Here is a 22,225-nt window from a genome sequence, read left to right as displayed (position 1 = left end):
ATGACTCACACATGGCTGGGAATAGTGTCGATTATCAACAGCCAAAGTGGAAAACGTCCTAATTCATGAACGGTGGTACTAAGTACTAACGAGGATCTTTCCTCAGTAATAAACTAAATTTAACTTAGTCTAAAAGCTGCTCTGGCTTAATCTAACAAAATTTAAAAGCAAGATTCTAAATGATCAAATTGTGTTCAAGTAACTTGATAGTTTTCAGTTAGCTATGTCACTGAAAACAAACTATCAAGTTAGTTTTCAGCTACATAGCTCAAAAACATAAGAATGCAAAAATATGCATTGCCAAACAAAGGAAAATGTACAGTATTTTCTGCCTAATTAAAAATCATCAGGCATTTAGAGAGGCAGAAAAATATAACCCATAATGAGAAAAATAAATCACTTGAAACTCATTCACAATGACAGATAACAGAATTAGTAGATTTTAAGAAGCATTAAAACAGTTGTTACAACTGTATCCATTGGTTGAAGATGTTAGATGAGAGATTAAGTACGTTAGAGACATGAAATATGGGGGACAAAAGACCCAAACTAAATTTATAGAAATAAAAACTAAGTTATCTGAGATTAAAAAGTCCTGTCTAGGATTATGGCAGATTAGATCATTTAGAAAAAAAAGATTCATGAACTTGAAGATGTAGCAAGAAAAACTATCCAAAATGAAATACAAAAAAGAATGAAATAAAATAAACAGATAAGTAAAATGTGGGACCATTTGCAAGTAATTGAAAAACTTGAAAATGCGGAGGGTCACAGAAAAAAAAATATTGGTCATTTTCCCCCACCCAAATTTGATGAAAATATAAATACATAGATCTAAGAAGCTCCACAAATTCCAAACACAAGACACTTGAAAAATAACCATACCTTGGCATATTATAATCAAATTAGAACCAGTAATAAGGAAAGTCTTAACAATCAGAAAAATAGCGTGTATCACACTTAAGGACAGAGACAAGTATTATAGTATGTGTTTCTGATGAAACAGAGAGAAGACAGTGAAGCAGTATTTTTTAATTATTGAAAGAAACATTGTCATCTCAACCTTGCTTTTTGCATCAATAAATTGTTTTTGAAAAGTCATTAAAATTATTTAAATAAACTGTGATTTGGTTATCAGTGGGGTGCTAAGCAGACATTAAAATTACAATATATGCGTATTTATATATAGTTAAATATAACAGTGAAAATAAATCCACAATATATTGTTGACTGGAAAGAAAGTTTAAGTAATGTGTACAAAAGAAACCACATTTTTGGTTCAAAATAAAAAGAAACAACTGATGTACATACATAAGCATGCCCAGAAAAATATTTAGAAGGATATATAGAAAGTTTCTCCAAGTGACTATCTCTGGCTAGTAGAATTCCTAAACTCTTTTTGATATTTGTTTGTTGTAAGGAGCATGCATTAATTTGACAATTTTTGAAATAGTAAAGCTATCTTTGGGAAAAATACTTTGTAAGAAAATTATATTACTTCTCTTAGTAATGCATTTTAATGTTTCCTATACCTTTCAATCAGAAATTTATTTCAATTATGGGCTATTGCCCATTGGTGAGAAAGGAGAATTAAAAAAAAACTCATTGGCTTTTATTTTTCTTCTAACGTGTTCCAGAACACATTCATGCTTAAATTTTTATATTTCCCTAAGTATTAGGTATTGTGAATTTGTAATCTTGTTATCAGGCTCAATTTTCAAGCTGGGTCTTATTAATTTTTAGTATATGTGCTGCCGAGGTGAGCACATTAATTTTTTACATTTTAGTAGTAAAGCATTTTTTAAGTTATTTGAAATACTGATTTTCATGGCCTTACATTTGGCATGCATAAGTGTAAGCTGTGAATAAGAGGTAAGCCACCATCCCATCAACAAATGATCAGGTCATCACCCTGCTGCCAAGTCCTTCTGTGTCCTCTGTGCATCTTGTTTTCTTAGAAGCCATCTTCAATAGGAGCCAAATCATTGAACTAGATCATGGTCCAGCTAGTTTATAGGTTCTCTCTTAGCACGGATCAATCCAAACAGTCTGATGGGATCATCATGAATGTTTTCCTCTACTGCCTGGCTTTCTGGGGAGAAACTGTCTACTAAGGTGGTCTTAGAAACGCTGGCATCTATTGCATGTAGTTGCTCATCTCCATCCTTGTCTGAGAAATGAGTATTCTGTTTCCTGGGCTTTCTACGCTTCCCCTTAACGCTGTGATCAAGTGAGGCGTAGCACATCTGTGTTTCATTGGTTGCCTAAAAGAAAGGGATGTTAATTTTTCATTGTTAGTCTGTTCTTTAGCTTGACTTCTGGAAATTTCTGTGGCGTATGAAAACCAAGTAACTTGTTTTCTAGGCCTCACCTACCTTGTTTTGCCAAATTTGTCAGTACAAAAAACAAAAACAAAAAACAGAACAGAAAACTATAGTCAGCCAACACTCTTGAGTTGAAAAAGTGCTTAGATGAAACTTTTTCCTAGATTTTTATTTCTTTATTATACTCTAACAGTACATGAACATTTTAGGTTGATTCTTACCTGCCTCTACCTCCACCTCCACCTAAGGTAGTTCTGGCCCTGTGTCGCTCTTACCAAGTAACGATACTCCAGTTTATTAAAGTAGGAATAAGCATGATAGGAAGGAGTTTACCAAATCACAAGGGTCTACTTTACATGTACCTAACAATTGGTCATTTAATGGTACCACAAAAGTCCCCAGTTTTTCTACATTTTTAAGATTCAGAAGTATAAAGATAACAATATTCACTTACATGATAGATATCTGGCAAATAACTAAATTTCTTATCTTTCCCTATTATTTTCTTATCTGCCTTCCCCAGTTCCCTTTTGAGCTCATTTTGGATTGGCCTTGGAGATATCCATTCACATCCAAGAGGGCCCAGTGGGCTTCTCCGGACTAGACCTGGGTCAATACTAAAGAAAGACAGGAAACTAGGCTATCTAGGGGAAGCAACATGCTAAAGGCAAGACCTTGAATTTGGCATTGGAAAGACTACGACTGAATCCCAGCTCTGCCATACAGTGATCATGGGATCTTGGTCAGGTTTTTAAAAATATTCTGAACCTCAATTTTCTTGCCTAGAAAATGCAAATCATCATAGTGTTGTTATGGTTAGTACATAGAGATAATGTATATGAAAGTTATAACTACTGTTCAAAAGTAAGGTAGCACTATAATTATGAAAAGTTGTAGACTAAAACTTTAAGACAGCCATTGAACAAACCAAAGATTTATGTATTAAGCATTACTCTTTAAGACTAGGCCAAAATTGTATTGATTTGCAGGAACAGGGTGAAGAAATAACATTTGGATTAACAACATTTCTAATGCGTAAGTAAGCATCTCCCCGTTGGCACTTGTTTTCATGTTAATAGTGAAACATTTTATATTCTCTGCCAGATAGAAAAGATGGTTCTATTTATACCCTCTGCTGTGTGTGTGTGTGTGTGTGTGTGTGCATGCGTGTGTTTTTTGAGATGGACTTTCGCTCTTGTCACCCAGGCTGGAGTGCAGTGGTGCGATCTCAGCTCACTGCAACCTCTGCCTCCCAGGTTCAAGTGATTCTCCTGCCTCAGCCTCCCAAGTAGCTGGGATTATAGGTGCCCACCACCACGCCTGGCTAATTTTTGTATTTTTAGTAGAGACGGAGTTTCGCCATGTTGGCCAGGCTGGTCTTGAACACTTGATCTCAGGTGATCCGCCCGCCTCGGCCTCCCAAAGTGCTGGGATTATAGGCGTGAGCCACCACACCTGGCTGTGTGGTTTTGTTGTTGTTGTTGTTGTTGTTGTTGTGTCTAGCTTCTTAGTCTTAAAATCCTCATTTCTGGAAAAATTGTAATAGCTGCCTAACTGGATCCATGCTCTAGTTTCTTCCCACTGCCATATACTGTTGTCAAGTTATTTCTAATTTAATCTCAACCTGTTTTCTTCATTTATAACTGAAAGCATTCCAAATAATGCATGTGTGGTCAACACTTGGTCAACTTTATCAAGTGCTGCAGAGTTAAAGAATGTGAGTCCTAAGAAAGGACCACAAATTGTATGTTTAATAGTCACTGGAGACTTCCACACTGCAGTGTTAGTTAAGTGCATGGGTGGAAAACACATAGCCAGGGTAAATGAATGTGTATCTATCCAAAGAAATCAAAACAATAGAGGAAGAAGCTAAGAATCAGTTTAGAAATTAGAAGGAAAAACAGTTCAAGTAAGGTGTTTTTTTTTTTTTTAATATTGGAGGGACTTTCACATATTGGTAGGCAAATAGTAATGATTCATTAAAAAAATGGAAACTTGAGAAAAGTTCAACAATTGAAAGTACAAGATCCTGAAATAATTAGGAGAAAGGGTCAAGATCATGAATAAGAGCATTGGCTTTGGAAAGGAGAGAGGATGCTTCTGACATAGGAGGAAAAGATTGATTAGAGATTTGGATATGAAGAGAAGAGGAGCAAGCTCACACTTGTATTTTTCAAATGTTTTGGGATTTGGGGACTCTTGTGAACTCACTTTATTACTAGGCTTTCTGATTAACTCTTCCTAGTTAATAGAAGACTGAGATACTAAAATTACAATTTCTGAACTGTACACATCATTTTCAAAGGCCAAGGAGCCTATTTACATTTTTTCCAACGAAGAAACACTTTGTCTATCAAGCTTTATGCATAATATCCTAGTTCCTTATGCTTTTGTGGTTGACCAAAGTAACAAAGTAGGTATTGTAGTAGCAAACTAGGTAGTGTTTTTTTATGATAATAAACACTGTAGTGAAATAAAATTGAGCAAATACGAAGATATTACCTCTAATTTGTGAAACTAAATTTATGAGAATAGTATAATAGAAAAGACTAATTTTCTTAGAAGTACCTTTAAATACACAATTTACAAAAGAGCAGGCTTTTAAAGACATTTTAAGGCTTTGCATAATTTTCACTTGAGTGAAAGCCAGATGCAGGTCAAATAAAGCTACCCTGTACAAGTCATGTGTATTAAATAGTAACTTCTATTCAGAATTCTCAGTACTTTTACAACTAAAGTGCTGTGAATCTCTACACTTCAGATAATGTATTTTAACCTTCCTTGAGAGGTTTTCTTTTTATTATCATGGATTTAGCAAATCATATTATATCATGCAGGTTTTCCATATGTTTATCTAAAATATATTTTATAATTAACTAAACATTATATGGCAGATTTGGTGAGCATATTTTTCCCAACTCCTACTACATCTTGGTTTCTTAGTTAAAAAATATTCAGCTGGGCACGATGGCTCATGCCTGTAATCCCAGCACTTTGGGAGGCCGAGGTGGGTGGATCACTGCGGTCGGGAGTTTGCGACCAGCCTAACCAACATGGTGAAACCCCGTCTCTACTAAAAATACAAAAATTAGCTGGGCATGGTGGCAGGCACCTGTAATCCCAGCTACTTGGGAGGCTGAGGCAGGAGAATCGCTTGAACCCGGGAGGCAGAGGTTGCAGTGAGTGGAGATTGTGCCATTGCACTCCAGCCTGGGCGACAAAGAGCAAAACTCTGTCTCAAAAAAAAAAAAAAGTTTAAAAGTTTGATTTCTTAGGGGATTTATCTAAAGAAAAAGAGTAAAATTCTACCTCACTGGGAAATTTTCAAGATGTGAGCCATTTTAGGGAAGAGAATGTTCTGTAAGAGAGGACTAAGTTTGGATTCTGTCTACTTACTTAGTACCTAAGTGTTCTGGGCAAGTTTTCATCCTTTGTGAGCATTTGTAAAATGGGAATGATAATGCTGCCTCCCTCATAGGAATCTAAGGAGATAATGAACATAAAGCACATAGTACAAGACCAACACGTAAAAATTGCTTAGGAAATGCTGGCTCTATTACCATTTCTAGGCAGTAACAAGACAGGATCTGAGAGGAGAAGAAAAACTATTTTAATTGAAATGTATAGCATTTCAGGAGCATGTAGGCTAAAAATTTCTAATGGCTTTTAATAAAGTTAGAACTAAAACTGAAGAGGTTGAACAGATTGTGGTAGGAAAAAGAGAAACTATCCATTTCTTCCTGTATTTTTATGTTTCTCCTTAGGTTTTTGTCCTGCCTACGTCCACATAAACTGTGTGTATATTTTGCAATCTCTTGCCATAAGACCACAGCCACAGGACTTGTATTAAAATTGAAAGTCATCTGCCTTTTAAAATAGGGATATGATGTTTTGTATCTAGCTAATTTATCTTATAACTAAAGGTCTCCCTCTCCCTACCCCAGCTCTGTATTTTGAATTCCTGACATTTAGGTCTTGTGAGCATTATCCGTGTGTCACCTTCTATATTATATTATCTCTGTGATATACACAAAATTTTCAATCAGAAAGAAAAAGCTTAATAGATTACTTAGGAATAATCCTATTATTCCCTTAAAATCTATTGCCTTTGTGATTGTGTACAATTTTGACTCTTTGAATATGGTTTGAGTTCTGTTTACATGACCCTGAGTTAGAGCTCAGGTCCCAGAACTTGACATCTGATTGATTGCAAAATTTCTAACAGGCTATTTCAGATGTGTATCATAATGTACTACTCTTATGCTCTTGAAATGTGCAAATGTGGAAACAGAAAACAAAACTCACCTGTGCAGATGGGGTGGCTTCCTGCATCTTATTTACAGATTTCTCTGGTCGGGCTTTCATTTGTTCATAGCAATTTTCATCCATTGGTTCTTGGGAATTAAAAAGATTGTGATTCACAATAGAAAATTTAAAAATACTAGTATGATTAAAAATACATGATCCAAACAACATTTGGCTGCAAATATAAACTGCCCAAGAATTACTTAACTAGTCTTTTTGGTGGAGATAGAAAGAGGTAAGGAAGCCCAAACTGTTACCTGCAGATCAGGCGGTGAAGTCTCTTGAGCTAAAGGGTTAGTAAGATAAAAATAAATCCTTGGAATAAGAACTAGATCATATGAATTTTCTTGTACCACTGCAGGACATGACAGTCTTAAGCTACCATTTGGATGTTATAGAGATCTCACAAGTTAAGGGATTGCCAGTATTCTTTATTTAAGATAGACTGCAAATGGTGCATGGTGCCACAAAGCACAGTGCACATACATCAGTGATTACAATTTTGAAATTTGTTCTTTGAGTAAGGAGTTTTGCTCAGGGACATTTTAAGTCCCACATCTTAATTTTGAAAAAGAGGGTTTATATTATGACTTTTGTCCCATCAATCAGTGACGGACATCTCAGCCAGACTGCCTAAGGGTCTGGGGCTGCACAATGCTGGTCCTTAGTATTTGGGGCTTTTGTACAGTGTCCAGCAGCCAGCAGATCTGTACTCATTTCATCCTATGGGGACATGCCTTTTGAATCATCCATACCTTTCTTCCCCCAGATATGTCCATTTAAAAGGAAGAAGAAAGTGAAGTAGTGACTCATAGGATGGCCAGTAACCTGACAGAAGTGTGGATTGTACCAGTTTGACCCTCAGAGAGAGAAAGATATATTTACTATAAGAAAAGCGACTTAATAATCATTGAGCTCTTTCTGAAAAGCAACACAGAGAAAGGGTATGTAGAGTGGTGTTTCTCAAATCATGGTCCATGGAAAATCTGCATCAGAATCACCTGGGATGTTAAGTAGCAGATCTCTAAGCCTTAGCCTGGACCTGCTAAATCAGAATGTGTGCAAGCGGCACCTGGGCTCACTTAAGTATGGAAGTAGCAGGTATAATGGGTTTGGAGCCATCAGAATACATAAGAATTTGAGTAGTTGAGTATTATAGGTGACTAACATGATTCTCCAAAGTGAAATGGGGACAAATTATTTTGAATAATATATTTCCAAAAAATAATTTTTGATTCCTTAGAGCACTAGAGGACACTCTACAATGAAAGGAAAGATAAAAATAAATTCTTGAATCACGCAAAAGAAAATTCCCACATTTCTAACTTTAAGATGATTCCATACTGTTTTAATATATAGATTTTTAGATAAATTTCCTACATTACTGGATGTCTCTGTGTTCAAAACTTGGAGTTCAACAGCATTTAACCCCCAAGTCTCCTCTGATGTATTGAATGAGTACTTGCAGGGAAAGGGTGGTAGCTTCTATCATCAGAACTCTAGAATCAGACCAAGGTTATCTGTTTGGAGAAATTTAGGGATGTTTCATTTTTAGATGTCTGGGATGACACAAGTGATAAGGGATGCTGGGAACTGAAGAGCGCTTATTACATAAGAACAAAATAAATATATAAACCACTCAGCAACAATTTAGTTCCTCTTTCTCCCACCTGCCATCAATCCAGCCCTACATTCTCTATTTAGAATATGAGAAACCAAAGAAACTGTTCATTGTTCCATGCTATTCACTGTACATTTGCTTTTGTATATTGAGCACAAAGCACTGTTTCTGTGGACCACTTTCTGTCCTAGAAATAGCTTTATTTCATAGAATTCGGTGTGTGTTGAAATTCATGGTAATAGTCTTCCTGTATTCTCATTACTACTAGAGTGAAATGAAGAGAATATAGAAAAACAGGATGTTGATTTAGAGTGGCTATTGTAATACAACTTACAATATGCAGCTTTGGAAATGTAGCCTAATTAATATACTAAAAGTTCTTGAATTGATGGTTATCACTGGGATAGCTAAGTGTGATTTGATTTTTTTAAAGCGCCACTTAAATTATTTTGTGAAACCAACTGGGATTTACTTATTTATAAATTTAACTTATGGAAAACTTACCTGAAATCATATCATCTAAGTTACCATAAATTGGTGTGTCTTCAATATAATACTCATCAACCCTATAACAAGGAAAAATAATTTACCTTATTAGATTCCACTTTTCACATAATTCATAACTGACTTCTCAGCTAAATTCAATATTAAGTGAACTATTGCCTATTCTTGGTTACCCCCAGCCAACCACGGTAGGTGTGTTCTTGTGCAAGTGAGTGAACACGTGCATGCATGTGTGTATGTGTATCTGTGTTCCGTGTGAATTTAAAAAGTTGGTTTTTGGATCTTCTTACAGGGAATCATGATAGCAAATACTTATTCAATAGTAACTGTATATTAGGCGCTACATCGAGTATATTTCCTATGTTTGTTCATTTAATTCTCTCAATTCCAACATAGGTACTATATCATCCTCCTTATGCAGATAAGAAATCTGAGGCACAGAGAGGTCATATGACTTGCTCAAGATTACGACTAACAAATAGCAGAGTTAGAATTAGAACCCAGGTAATCCATGCTCTTTATTGTACAATGTACTGCCTCTTTACTCACCCAGAATATCAGTCCAAACAATCTCTTAAAACCATGTTTTCTGAGTATTACAGACTGAGGTTAGCAGATGCAATAAAATGATTGATCACCTATTATGTCCAGATGGTGAGTTAGGTGTTTTACATACATTGTATCAAAAACTCACAAAGAAAATTCTCCAAAAGTAGTAGTATTCTTCCCTGCTTTACAGGGGAGAACCCTGAGATTCAGATAGATTAATTTATTTTCCCTAGGCTGATCTCAACTATCAGCAATAACTACCAGTTGTGAAACCTTTTCTCTATGCAAGTGCTCATTCAACCCTCAGGACAATCATATGAGATGCATATTTTATCCCTATTGTGCATATAAGGTATTTGCAGCTCATAGAGGTTAATGACATTGTCCACAGATACACAGTCAGTAACTGGCAGTGCTAGGATTGTACAGCAAGTTTAGTTGTAAAGCCCCGTGCTCAGTCCACATCATGAGGAAGTTATTCAGTGGGTGATACAATTCAAAGGCTGTGGGGAAACAGTCTAGAGACTATACAGGGACCACAGTTTTATGTCTCCCCGACCCTCAGGTCAAGAGAACTGACAAGAATACACAGCTATTTGCTCTTGCTAGCTGATTAAAGTTCCTTCCAGCCTCACGTGAGTAATGCTATTAGGATTACAGTATACATCCTACCATTGTCACTAGACTGTCATTCTACCAATGTCATCCTACCATTGATGATGGCCCTAGTGACCAGATTTCACAATGGCAGTCTGGGAACTGAGGAACTTATCAGGTGGTGAGAGTCGCATTTCATAAAATAGTACCGACTGCTTTAACTTTGAGATTACATGTCACTGAGAGCTGGAGGGAATTTCATCAAAAGAAAAAAAAAAAGGACTCTTATCTCAAGGCATAACACCTGTATTACTCTCTATGCCACTGAAAAAAGACACAGTATATGTAAATAGTACGTAGGTATTAAAAAAATAACAGTTCAAATGATACCTGTATGAAATGGCTTGAAAAGCCCAGATATGGGCAAACACTTCACTCATCTGATAACAAAGGAACTCATCTGTAACCTTTTTTCCATCCGGTAATTCAATACAGCTTAATATTGGGATATCAAGTAGTCCCTGCTCATGATTTTTCTCCATGCCAAGAATATAATAGCAAAAACTGAAGAATTTTTAATAAGACAATCCATCCATTTTCCTAGCCCACATAGATGGCAGATCCAACTTGCAAATGATAAATCATGTCCAAAAAATGAGTATTGTTTTATTCCCTATGAATGAAAATAAGATGTGATTTATAATGCAGTGTCCTGTGTCTACAGGCCCATCTCAAATGATTAATCATCTCAAATAAACTATTATTCAGGAGCAATTGCCTAACAAACAAATTTAAAAATATATTCTTGGCAATGCCAAATAGCTCCAGCCTGTTGTAAATGTGTAATAAACCTCAGGAGCAAATGTTTGGCAGTATTTTATGTGGATGATTAATTACTTTTAAAAATAAATTAATAATTGAACTCATATCTGAGAGGCTAGTGTACCTCTGAGTTTTCAGCCAGACCAGACTCTCCATTGTTCTGAACATGCCTGAAATAATTCTCTAACCAGTAAGTACATTTACTGACACTCCAAAATTAAGAAAAATATATTAATTATATCTATTACTATGGTCCAGACTTTGTGCTTTCATATATATATACACGTATTTCTTTTTTTTTTTTTTTTTTTTTTTTTTGAGACAGAGTCTCTCTCTGTCACCCAGGCTGGAGTGCAGTGGCGCAATCTCGGCTCACTGCAAGCTCCGCCTCCCGGATTCACGTCATTCTGCTGCCTCAGCCTCCCGAGTAGCTGGGACTACAGGCGCCCGCCACCACACCCAGCTAATTTTTTGTATTTTTAGTAGAGACGGGGTTTCACCGTGTTAGCCAGGATAGTCTAGATTTTCTGACCTCATTATCTGCCCGCCTCGGCCTCCCAAAGTGCTGGGATTATAGGCGTGAGCCACTGTGCCTGGCCACATTTATATTTTTTCTAGTTCCTATTTTTTACATTTATATTTATATTTATTATTTATTAGGTCTTTTATTTAAAAAATTCCTCAAGTAGTTTGTGATCAAAGTCCATTTAAATAACTAAATTCAAATTAAAAAATAATCTGGCGTGAACCCAGGAGGCAGAGAAGGCAGTGAGCCGGGATTGCACCACTGCACTCCAACCTGGGAGTCAGAGCGAGACTCCGTCTCAAAAAAAAAAAAAAAATCACTACTTCTACCTGATCACCTTGGACTTAAATTCTCTAAGTTTAGATTGTCTTACTTAAAAAATGAGATTAAACTAGTTGATTTCTATTGTTCTTTTCAGTTCCCAAGTTCTAGAATACAAATGCAGGATTCCAACATCCAAATAAAATTGAAAGACTTTTTTACAAAACGAAATAAATCTATTTTAAGGGCCTGAGAAGTTGCCAGAGATGGGAAAGGACAAGCTTTGGGATCCATCAGAAGTTGGTTTTGGTAATTGCTAACCTGATTTGCTTCATAGTTGTTACTCTGAATAGGCAAAGATGTAAGCTTGGGATCCGTAAGTGTGTAAATGTTTAAAGCCATGAGAGAGGATGACATTATTTATGGAATGAGGCCCTGGGAACTGTGATGTTTAAGATTCAGAAACCAGCAAAGGAGAAGGGGCTGCTGGTAAGAGAAGAAGAAAACCAAAGAGGGAGGTGGCTCAGAGCCCAGAGAATCAAGTGTTTCAAGTAGAGAGTGTCAGGGTGTCAAATGCTGCAGAGGGACTCAGCAAGCTGAAACCGAGATTTGATCATGGTAACCTTGACAAGAGTAGAGTCAGTGTATTAGTGAGGACATATGGAATAGAGTAGGTTCAAGAAAGAAGAGGAAAAGAGGAAGAAAAGCCAGCAAATATGGACAGAATATAGAGGGACCTTTCAAGTTTTCTTGTAAAAGAGAAAAGAGCAATGAAGAGGTAGCTGTAAGGCAATCTAGTTTTGTTGTTGTTGTTGTTGTTTTGTTTATTTTTGTTTTTGTTTTTTTGAGACGGAGTCTTGCTCTGTCACCATGTTGGAGTGCAGTGGTGTGATCTTGGCTCACTGCAACCTCCGCCTCCTGGGTTCAAGTGATTCTCCTGCCTCAGCCTCCCAAGTAGCTGGGACTACAGGCGCATGACGACATGCCCAGCAAATTTTTGTATTTTTAATGGAGACAGAGTTTTACTATGTTGGCCAGGATTATCTCAATCTCTTGACCTGGTGATCTGCCTGCCTCGGCCTCCCAAAGTGCTGAGATTACAGGCGTGAGCCACCACGCCCGGCTGGCAATCTAGTTTTAAGGAGATGGTTGGTTTTTTAAAGGTATAAACAATACAGTCTGTTTATATATTGGTGGGAATGATACAAAGGGGACAGAAAAAGTAACAATGCAGAATCACAAAGGAAAAGTTGACAGAGTGATGCATATATGCTTATTACATTTTCGCTTTCTCTGGCATGGGCTGTGGTATGAGTGTAGATGTCTTGAACTTGGCGCAGGAGGGCACCAAATAGAGAACCCTGATCCAGAGGAAGAATATAAATCCTAGCACTATTTTGTGTGACTGAGGCTGAGAAGTGAATCCAGCAGTGTTGTCTCTGAAGTGATGGTTAATGGATGCTCATAGCCATGATATCTAACACTAAATTCTCATTCTGTTGATTAGTGTTCACGTGCCTCTCTAATATGCTCATTTCTTTGTAAAGTCTGTTAAGCACAATGAGCTCACATTGCCAGTGCTTTAGAGCACTTGAAAAGAAGGGTCTTTCGCCAAAGTTTGGCGGAAAGGATACTGGAAAGAACTGCCAGCATGACAATTTCTAAAATGACGGAGAATCCAAGAGCAGTGACGGAGCTAGAGGTGACAAGGGGGCAGCCAAGAATAAGGTTTGGGGAACCCCGAAATTCTCAGAATTGCTTAGGAAAGGGACCAGACTTCTTGTAGTTATACAGGGCTGGGGCTTGGGTTATGATTATTTGTACATTGAAACAAACAGGAGGCTGGAAGACGTAGAGACACTTTGGTTACACATGTGGTACTGGGTCTAGTGAAGGCCCCACCTGCATAGCCAGTTGGAAGTCTGTGATGTCAGGGAAGGGGACCCAAGAGTTCTCTTGTCATAAGGATTCTCAACCTTGAGAATGGGTGAAGAGGACAGATGAGACTAGTTATATTTAGGTAGCATAGTTAGCAAAGAAAGGAAATACAGAAGATCCCCACCCTGCAGAGCTCCAGAAATTCAAGAAATCACCGGAAAGTAGAAGAGTAGCTGAGCTGAATTAATGTTTTATGATAAAAGCACCTCCAGTGTCCCCCAGAAGCAGTTCATGAAAATCTGCTGGAAATGCATCCTAAGCTTTTTGAGAGAGACTCTGAAAACTGAGGAGTCATGATAAGCTTAATGTAATTGTAAACCTGAACTGCTTTCTTGAATTAGGGTGTGAACATACTGCAAGTGGGCAGGAATTTTCAGAGGCATTAATTTTTATTCAATAAAACAGCAGCTTTTTAGTCAACTACCCTCTGTAAATAAAGTATTATATTATAAACCTTATTCTTCATATGATAAAACCAAATTTCACCAATGCTCATTTCCCCAAGACTACGAATCCACTAATTGCAAGTCTGTTTAAAATTCAGAATTGCCTGGATCTCAAATCCATGATAGTCTCACAGTATTATCCTCCTAACACAAACCAAAAGGCAAGAATTATGTTTTAAATGAGAAATAAAGTGACCCAAGAATAAATAGCAGAAAGTGTGTATTTGATTTTCTGCTTGATTTAGGTGCTATGGTTTCCTTAAAGTGATCATGTTTCTGACGTACTGTTGCAGGAAGGGCAGGGAATGGGGAAACAGAGAAATAAGATGAGAGAAGCAATTCCTTTCCCTTCCAGCATAAGCCAGTATTGAATAGGAGTGGGGAGAGAGTGCAACAGAGAACCCAGTGCGATAGAAGTTTATTTCCTTTCTCTATGGCCACAAACCATGTTGGAACTGAAGAGGCATCAGTAACGCAAGCCCCACCCGAGAAACATAGACCTTATTTTCACTTGCCCTGTTTTAATGTTTAATGGATTCAGATAGTTTTTAGTTCGCTTACTGGTTTGTTTGTGGAGCTTCCATGCCCCTTTACAAAAGAGATTTTTGTTCCCAAACCACATAAGCAAGAGAAATAGACAAAATATAAGGTATATACATAAACTTGTGAATTAAAATATCAACGCTTTTTTATAGAAAAAAATCTGCATTGTATATTCAAATTTTGCCTAACTGGAGATTTGTTACAATAGACAATAGGTTATTTTATAAATCCTTAAGGGAAAGATTCATGCCTTTCCATCTTTGTATCTTTGTTGTTGCAGGACAGTTCTCTGGGTGACTTTGCACCCAACTGGTCCTTCTTTTCTCACTTCTAATTTTTAAGAATAACTGTAGAATGTGCTGGAAATGCAACCTTCAGGGATAAAGAAGAATCAGCTGGAACAGCCTAGGTTTTATTCTAGTCTCTCACAGAAACAGGATATCCTTCAGTGCTTTAGCCCAGCATATCATGTTGCCCCTTAGGGGTAAACCCAAAGGTAGGCTGCTTTCTGGAGTCCTTCAGCTGCAGTGCAGGTGGGGAACAGGAAGATGAGTTTCCATCCACCTTGGACAGCTTTTCTGAGGCTTGGGGAACTATCTCTGAATGAATCTTAGACTTTGGTTGTCCTTTGCTGAGTAAGTAATAAGCTCACTTTATGTAACTCATTGTTTGTGTGTTTTGTCTCACCAGACTCAGGAAAGTAGTAAATGTGCATCCCAAGACACAGTGGGCTGAAGCGCTCAGACTCCTATTCCTGGTGGTTGGCATAGTAATGATCTTTGCTATCCTATATCCTCCCTTGGGATTGGTAATCAGCAAACTTATTTTGCTATTGTCTAGCACAGTGCCTGTTTGTTGAGTGAATATTTATTGAATGAATAAATGTTATAAAAGCTTTTTTTTTTTTTTTACATTTGCCCTACAGCTAAAAGCCTGATTGCTTTGAGGCAGGTATTTTACCAATTTTCCCTCTCATTGCTCCCATCCTAATCCCTAAACCATCAACCTAATTTAGCTAAATAGTCAAATCACAAGACTTTCTATCACATTGCATCTTAATTGCCCTTCAAATTACAAGTATTAAATAGATCATTAAAGAGATTAGCTCTTACTGTGTGATTATATAGGATTTTCATCATTATGTGTTGTAAAAAGAAACCAAAAGAGCAGTAAGCAAATCATTCTTGATATAAACTAATGACTTGAAAAGTATCTAATGTTAAATAATTCAATGTTAAGAGTAGTCATAAAAACAGATTTTGTGTGTGACGGGGTATGCCTGCAGCCCAGATCTTATACTTGCTCAAGAAATTTTCACATGGAAAAAGAATTTTTTTAAAAAAAAGACCTTAAAGAGACCAAAAAGGCTTATGTTCTTATCCTACCCAGTGAGAAAGCTCTGTGTTTTTCAAAGACCTTTCAGTCTACCATTTCAGAAAGGTCTTGAAGAGCCCTCTAGGAAATTCTCTTTATTTAGATTTTTTTTTTTACCCCTAAAACAGAAATCTCCAATACATTGACACATCTGGGTCAGAATATTCTATACAAAAAAAGTAAAATTTCCTTACTACGATTTATGCCATAAATATTTTTTTTAAAAAAATGTATACTACTATACAAATTTCTTTGCAAATAGCTCAATAACTATTAAAGAGAATAAGTGATATCTATAACAGCATATTCTTTCAGAGTATCTGTTCATCACGTTTCCCTATTGATTGACATTAACTCTACAAACAGCATAGCGCTACTCATCCTTGTGTATATCTATGTGTATACACATCTTTTTTTTTTTTTTTTCTTGAGACAGAGTCTCACTCTGTCGTCCAGCTGGAGTGCAGTGGTGCCATCTTGGCTCACTGCAACCTCCGCCTCCCGGGTTCAAGTGATTCTCCTGCCTCAGCCTCCTGAGTAGCTGGGACTACAGGCATGTGCCACCACGCCCAGCTAATTTTTTTTTGTTTTGTTTTGTTTTTTTTCTAGAGACAGGGTTTCACCATGTTAGCCAGGATGGCCTCCATCTCCTGACCTCGTGATCTGCCTGCCTCGGCCTCCCAAAGTGCTGGGATTACAGGCATGAACCACCGTGCCTGGCCCGTGTATACATATCTTAAATTGTATTAGGTTGCCAGATTGTTTTCTACTATGGATTTTGAAGTGTAGCACAATTCTGTATCTAAGCTGGATCATAATCTAGGCTATCTACCTCTGAAATTAATGATAATTCTATAGTTATCAGGTTAGAATCTCATTTTATCCTTCAACCAGCTTTCTTGTTGACTCACAGTGTGCAAATAACTAGGACAGATAATAATGTTATAGCTTCTGATCTTTAGATGAGAGTAAAAGTAATTAAAACTCACTTTTCATTTCATTTTAACCTAAGTACAATATCCATGAGCCAAATCTTTAAACAATATAGCATTGTTACTTTTGCTTATTAGTTGGGAATCATGATCCATGACTGAATCACAACATACCTGGTGTGGTCACTGGAGTAGCTGTACATTTTATCTGAAAGATATTCAAAATAGACAAGTTAAAAGAAATGTTGACATACCTTTGTTAAATATTCTAAAGTGTGTTCTGAGGGGAGTTTAGCCTCAATGTCAATTAATATATTTGACCAAGGCTCTCAGGGCACCTCTGATTGAAGTAGGGTTAAAGGTCTCCTCTTGGGCCAATCAGATTTGCCTTTTACCAAATTACCAAGAAAGAAAGATTTATATGACTTGAAGAGAAACCAGAGCAACTTTCTTGGTAATTTGGGGTGGAAACAGTGCAGCTTGGAGACGATGTACAGCCTGGATGCATTGCGGTTTTATGCACAGAAACACTAAGCAGAGAGAGCTGGAACCTTCCTTCCTGCCTCCCTTGTGGCTCCAGTCCACTGCAGGGCATGACTGTACTTTCTGCCTTTGGGTTCCATGAAACACCTCTGCATTCTTATAAGTTTTTATCTTTGCCCATGTGGTTTGAATAGGCTTTTCTTTGTTACCAAAAACGAAAAAAATCAATAGGAGACTTTTCTTTTATCAATCTCTATCTATCTATCTATCTATCTATCTATCTATCTATCTATCTATCTATCATCTATCTATATCTATCATCTATCTATCTATCTATCTACTTTTAACATTTCTTGGCATGAGTAACAACATAAAAATGATATTAAGAAAGCTGCTGTGATCATGACTTCATTTCATCCACATTGTACAAAGGAGTGGGAAGGAGAAATGAGTGTGCTAGGAAGAAGAGACCTGGAAAAAGTTGGAACACAGGCTCTAAAATTAACCGAAACAGTAGAACAGCTTCTAAGAAAAGAAAAGTTATTTTTGGTCTGCCAGGACAAGACTTACCAGAGATGTGTTGTAGGACAACAAAACCACAGAAAAAAACTATGTGATGAATCTCAGTAAGCAACTCACTGTTAAACCTTGAATGAGGCAGTTCAAAGCCAAACAAAAGTATTTTTACTTCTAGGTCAAATATAAGAATTCAAAAGCTATTTAACAAATGTAGTTTTAAGAATTTTCTTTAATTGAAGGCAATAGATTCATGATGAATTATTGAAAAAAAGTAAGGGATAATCAGGGTACAGTCTTAACATCAATGTTATAGAAAATTCTGTATTATCCATTCATCAGTAAATTTTCTTTACTGTTGAACTAGATGCACACATACAGCACAATGTTTATTATATTTGAATGGCTTATTTTTCAACCTGGCATTAAATAAAAGCCAAAACCTTGCAAAAAAGTTATTAATGTAAAAATAAAGACCACTATTATCTAACTCTCTGACAATAATCACGAGAAAATAGTGACCAAATGATTATCTTTCAACTTGAACATGTGAAAACACTCTATATTAGTAAGGAACTAGCAATAACATTTTCAAATAATTCAGTAAGTCACCAAACAACTACAAAACTTATTTTAGTTAAATTTATGTGTAACAAAGTTGAGTTATTCTCCAGAGAGGTTATTAACTGTTAAAGACACATTAGTGGAACAATTTATGAAAGTAATCATACTGGAGGATGAAACGGACATGTCACATGTCAATGTGTTTGGAAGAATTCTGTGAAGGACTAAATGAGGGAAGATTTTGCGGAGCATATGCACTAAGCTGCTATGGGACCAAAAGTGATGAATGTATTCCATTTGGAATATGTCAGAAACATACTTCTAGTCCAGAGGAAATGTTCTACCATGAACTGCATGTAAAAGATGCAGTTATTTTCAACTACTTTCATACTAGTCTTGTGAATACAAGTGCACACAAATGTTGGGAGAAGCCTAGAGAGGCTAAAACATATTGCATAGTAGCCACAAGTTCAGCAAAATCAAAAAACCTGAGAAATGTAAATAATGTCAAGAAGCATATAAAGAAAACATAGTTAATATAGACCAGGAAATTGTAAACTGATAAATAAGACATGACATAAAGTATATGTTGATTTCCTTCTATGTGAAGAAAATGTTTACACTCAGGCCACTAATTATTTTGCAGATTTGCCTGGAATTAAAGTAGATGCATAAGAATTTAGTCAAATGGTAGCCTGATGTATAATGGAACAAATCCAGGGTTAAGAATCAGAAGATATGGATTTGGTACCAGTTTTGCAATGCATTTGCCCTGTGACAACACGCAAATTGCTTTAAAGCTCTGGTGCTCAATTTATCCATGAAGTAGGGACAATAATGCCTACATCACAGAGTACATGTCAGAGGTAAATGAAATATTTTCTGTAAAAACATTTTTTAATGACAAAGTTTGTTATTAATATTATACATACATTCTAAATACATATTATATAACAAGCCAGAAATTAATTGCACTCATTTGAGTCAGGAAGTTTCAATGAACGAGTTAGTTGAAAACACACTGGTATTATTAAGATGGTATGATATTTTGAAGTTAAAAGATATATAAGTAATGCTTGATTTGAAATGAAATTACTAAAATCTCACTCTTGACAAAAGGATAGTCACCAGCTGAGCATTAATTTGAAAGAAAAGGAAAAAAATCAGCAAAAACATTGAAAACAAAAGTGAAGAGTGTCATTGCTTAATAAGAATAAGAAAAAGTAGGTATGGAGTAAAAATAATTCCCCAAACAGGCTAATGTTTTTAAAAGATAATGTGGATTTTTCAGATGGAGGTGCTTGAAGTATGAACGCTGGTGCCTAGAAAGAATACTAGTGTAACACATAAAAACTAACTCTGGCCGGGCACGGTGGCTCATGCCTGTAATCCCAGCACTTTGGGAGGCCAAGGTGGGCAGATCACGAGGTCGGGAGATCGGGACTATCCTGGCCAAAATGGTGAAACCCCATCTCTACTAAAATACAAAAAATTAGCTGGGCATGGTGGCATGCGCCTGTAGTCCCAGCTACTCGGGAGGCTGAGGCAGGGGAATCGCTTGAATCCAGGAGGCAGAGGTTGTAGTGAGCTGAGATCGTGCCACTGCACTCCAGCCTGGGCGACAGAGCAAGACTTTCTCAAAAAATAAATAAATAAATAAATAAATAAATAAATAAATAAATACAAACAAACAACTAACTCTATTGAATGGGAATGTGCTGAATGTATTATCAATAGGGGAATAAAAGAAAAAAAAGACAAAAACTGTGTGGGAAAAAGGAAATAGAAGCAACTATATAAAGGATACAATATAATAATGTGATGTTTAGATGGAAGGAAAGGGACTAAACCAATTTGGGGGGAAAATAAAGAAAACAAGTAATGGTTAAAGGGAGCACCTGAAATGGGATGTAAGAAGTTCAAGGGCACCCCATTCCATGCTACTTTTAGGATGTAAATGTATAATCTGCAGCTGAGCCATCAGTACTTGGGTAATTTTGTTTTGCAGTCCTCCCTAGAAGAAGGTTATAATCTCTTTAAATGAGCCGTAGTGAGAAGTTCAGAGGTTACAGCTCAGAATAAAAGCCAGCAAGCTCAGGCTTCTGAAAAGTTTGCTCTGTCATGAAGGCTCAAAAGTTTATTTAAAAATAAGTGGCATGACTTAATTTAAAAGCTGCCTGGTGATTTCAATGACATTTAGCAAAATAAAAAAAGTGTATGCTTTGCTATAAAGCAATGAAATGTGCAAGACTGTGCGTGGGAAGAACTAGGTGAGCTCTCATAATCCTCTCCTGTGATTCAGATGCAAACACTTGTGGTCAGGTTTGTAGTTGAGAGGGTGTGATGCAAATATGTTTGCTTTTATGTTTTTCCTCTTAGAGTGTTAACCCTCCTATGTACAAGAATAGACAACGGCACATAGTTTAAACTCCATAATGAAATTTCTCTGATACATGTTAAATGTGAAGATGCCATAATTTCCTACTGATAGGACTTTGATGTATGACCAAACCATACGCTTGTTTATCCTTCTTTCCAAACCAGAGAGGAAGAGTTAAACAAAGAATAGTTTTTGGATTTAAAGAAGGAAAAAGTGAATGCACTCCTATCAGAAAAAGAAATAAATATAATCCTCCTAAAGAACAGATTTGAACAAAGAATCACATAAAAAATGAAGGATTTATTTTAGGGAGAATGAGAGAACTCCATTTCAAAGCTTCTACCTAGCTGCTACAGAAAACATCAAGGGGAGGCTTATCTGGTCTATCTGATTGAATGTGCAGATATTGTATTGTTGCTGAAATGGAGATTTTCTTTTGAACGCTATTTATTACACCAGCAAAACTTATTCACTGACTAACCAAGGTGGAGTCAGATCTTGCAAATTTCTCAGCCACAAAGAGTAACAAAAAGATGCAAACATAAAAAGTTATATGAGGCCAGATACAGGGGCATTTCATTCACAGCCCAAGTGGCAGAAAAGCCAGTTGATACAATAGAATCTCTTTTATTATAGTTTGTTTGTCCCAGAGAAATAAGGCAGGAAGTCTTCTTCAGGAAGATTGGAAGGAACTGAACTGTTTGCAGAGCAGTTCTGAAATATATTTGAAATCTCTGGGTTAGAAACAAAGATAGTTCTATTTGTTCATATGGGATGGAAAGAAAGGCAGAGCTATTACTAATACTTGGGAAAAGATGTTAGGAGAAGTTGGGGCAGAGAGAAAGGGTGGAGGTGGGATAAGAACAAAGGACATTCTTAGCGTTGATGAATACATCAATTGCACACCAATAAAATGCAAGTTCCAGTGTATGCTCCACCTAATGAGGGTACATTACTGCTCAAATAAAAGGTTTTGTGATAAGCTAATGTTTAGAATCAATTCCATAAAACTCTACAGAAAACTCTCTGAAATGGACCTGAATGTGACATACATGACCACAACATTTAGTGCTAAAGCTCAGGGTGTTGTACAGATGTGTTAAATAATATAGAGATGAGGAAAGTGAAGTTGGAGCTGGAGAGGACTTAGAGGGGCATAGGGATGGTGGGAGCAGCAAAGTAGCCAGAGAAACCAATGTTCACCAAAATAACAGATGTGAAAATTACATGGGATGACATATAGCCATAGTAGATCCTTAATAATTATTTGTGGAAAGAAGGAAGGAAACAACACGGCCACTAGGTATGGTGATGGGCTGCACCAGATCTAGGACTGACCTACTAAGTCCCCAGCACTATGCAAAGATGTGTGTGTGTGTGTGTGTGTGTGTGTGTGTGTAATTCTTACAAGAACCCTAGGGTCTAGATGGTATTTTCCACATCTTATAGATAAGGAAACTGAAACTCAGAGAAATTATGTTACTTGTACAAGATCTTCCAGCTAAATATTGAAGGCAGAGTTCTAATTTACATCAGGTCT

The 22,225-nt window shown here is 36.7% G+C and overlaps 1 protein-coding gene across 2 annotated transcripts in view; it reads right to left on the bottom strand.

Annotated features, from left to right (window-relative positions):
* Positions 1-878: 878 nt before the first annotated feature.
* The window catches only part of TRAT1 (T cell receptor associated transmembrane adaptor 1), a 32,220-nt gene continuing 10,873 nt past the window's right edge, over positions 879-22,225 (bottom strand). For both annotated transcript variants that reach the window (NM_016388.4, NM_001317747.2), the window contains 4 exons: positions 16,917-16,950; positions 8,755-8,816; positions 6,630-6,718; positions 879-2,264 (listed from right to left, as the gene is read on the bottom strand). In NM_016388.4, the coding sequence (NP_057472.2) occupies positions 2,007-2,264; positions 6,630-6,718; positions 8,755-8,816; positions 16,917-16,950 (443 nt within the window). In that variant the 3' untranslated portion in view covers positions 879-2,006. The remainder of the gene's footprint in view (positions 2,265-6,629; positions 6,719-8,754; positions 8,817-16,916; positions 16,951-22,225) is intronic.

This window comes from Homo sapiens, chromosome 3 (genome assembly GCF_000001405.40).
Source record: "Homo sapiens chromosome 3, GRCh38.p14 Primary Assembly".
In the NCBI taxonomy this organism is placed as follows: Eukaryota; Metazoa; Chordata; class Mammalia; order Primates; family Hominidae; genus Homo; species Homo sapiens.
The sequence above is the reverse complement of the archived record's forward strand: the minus strand, read 5'-3'. Positions and strand labels throughout refer to the sequence as shown.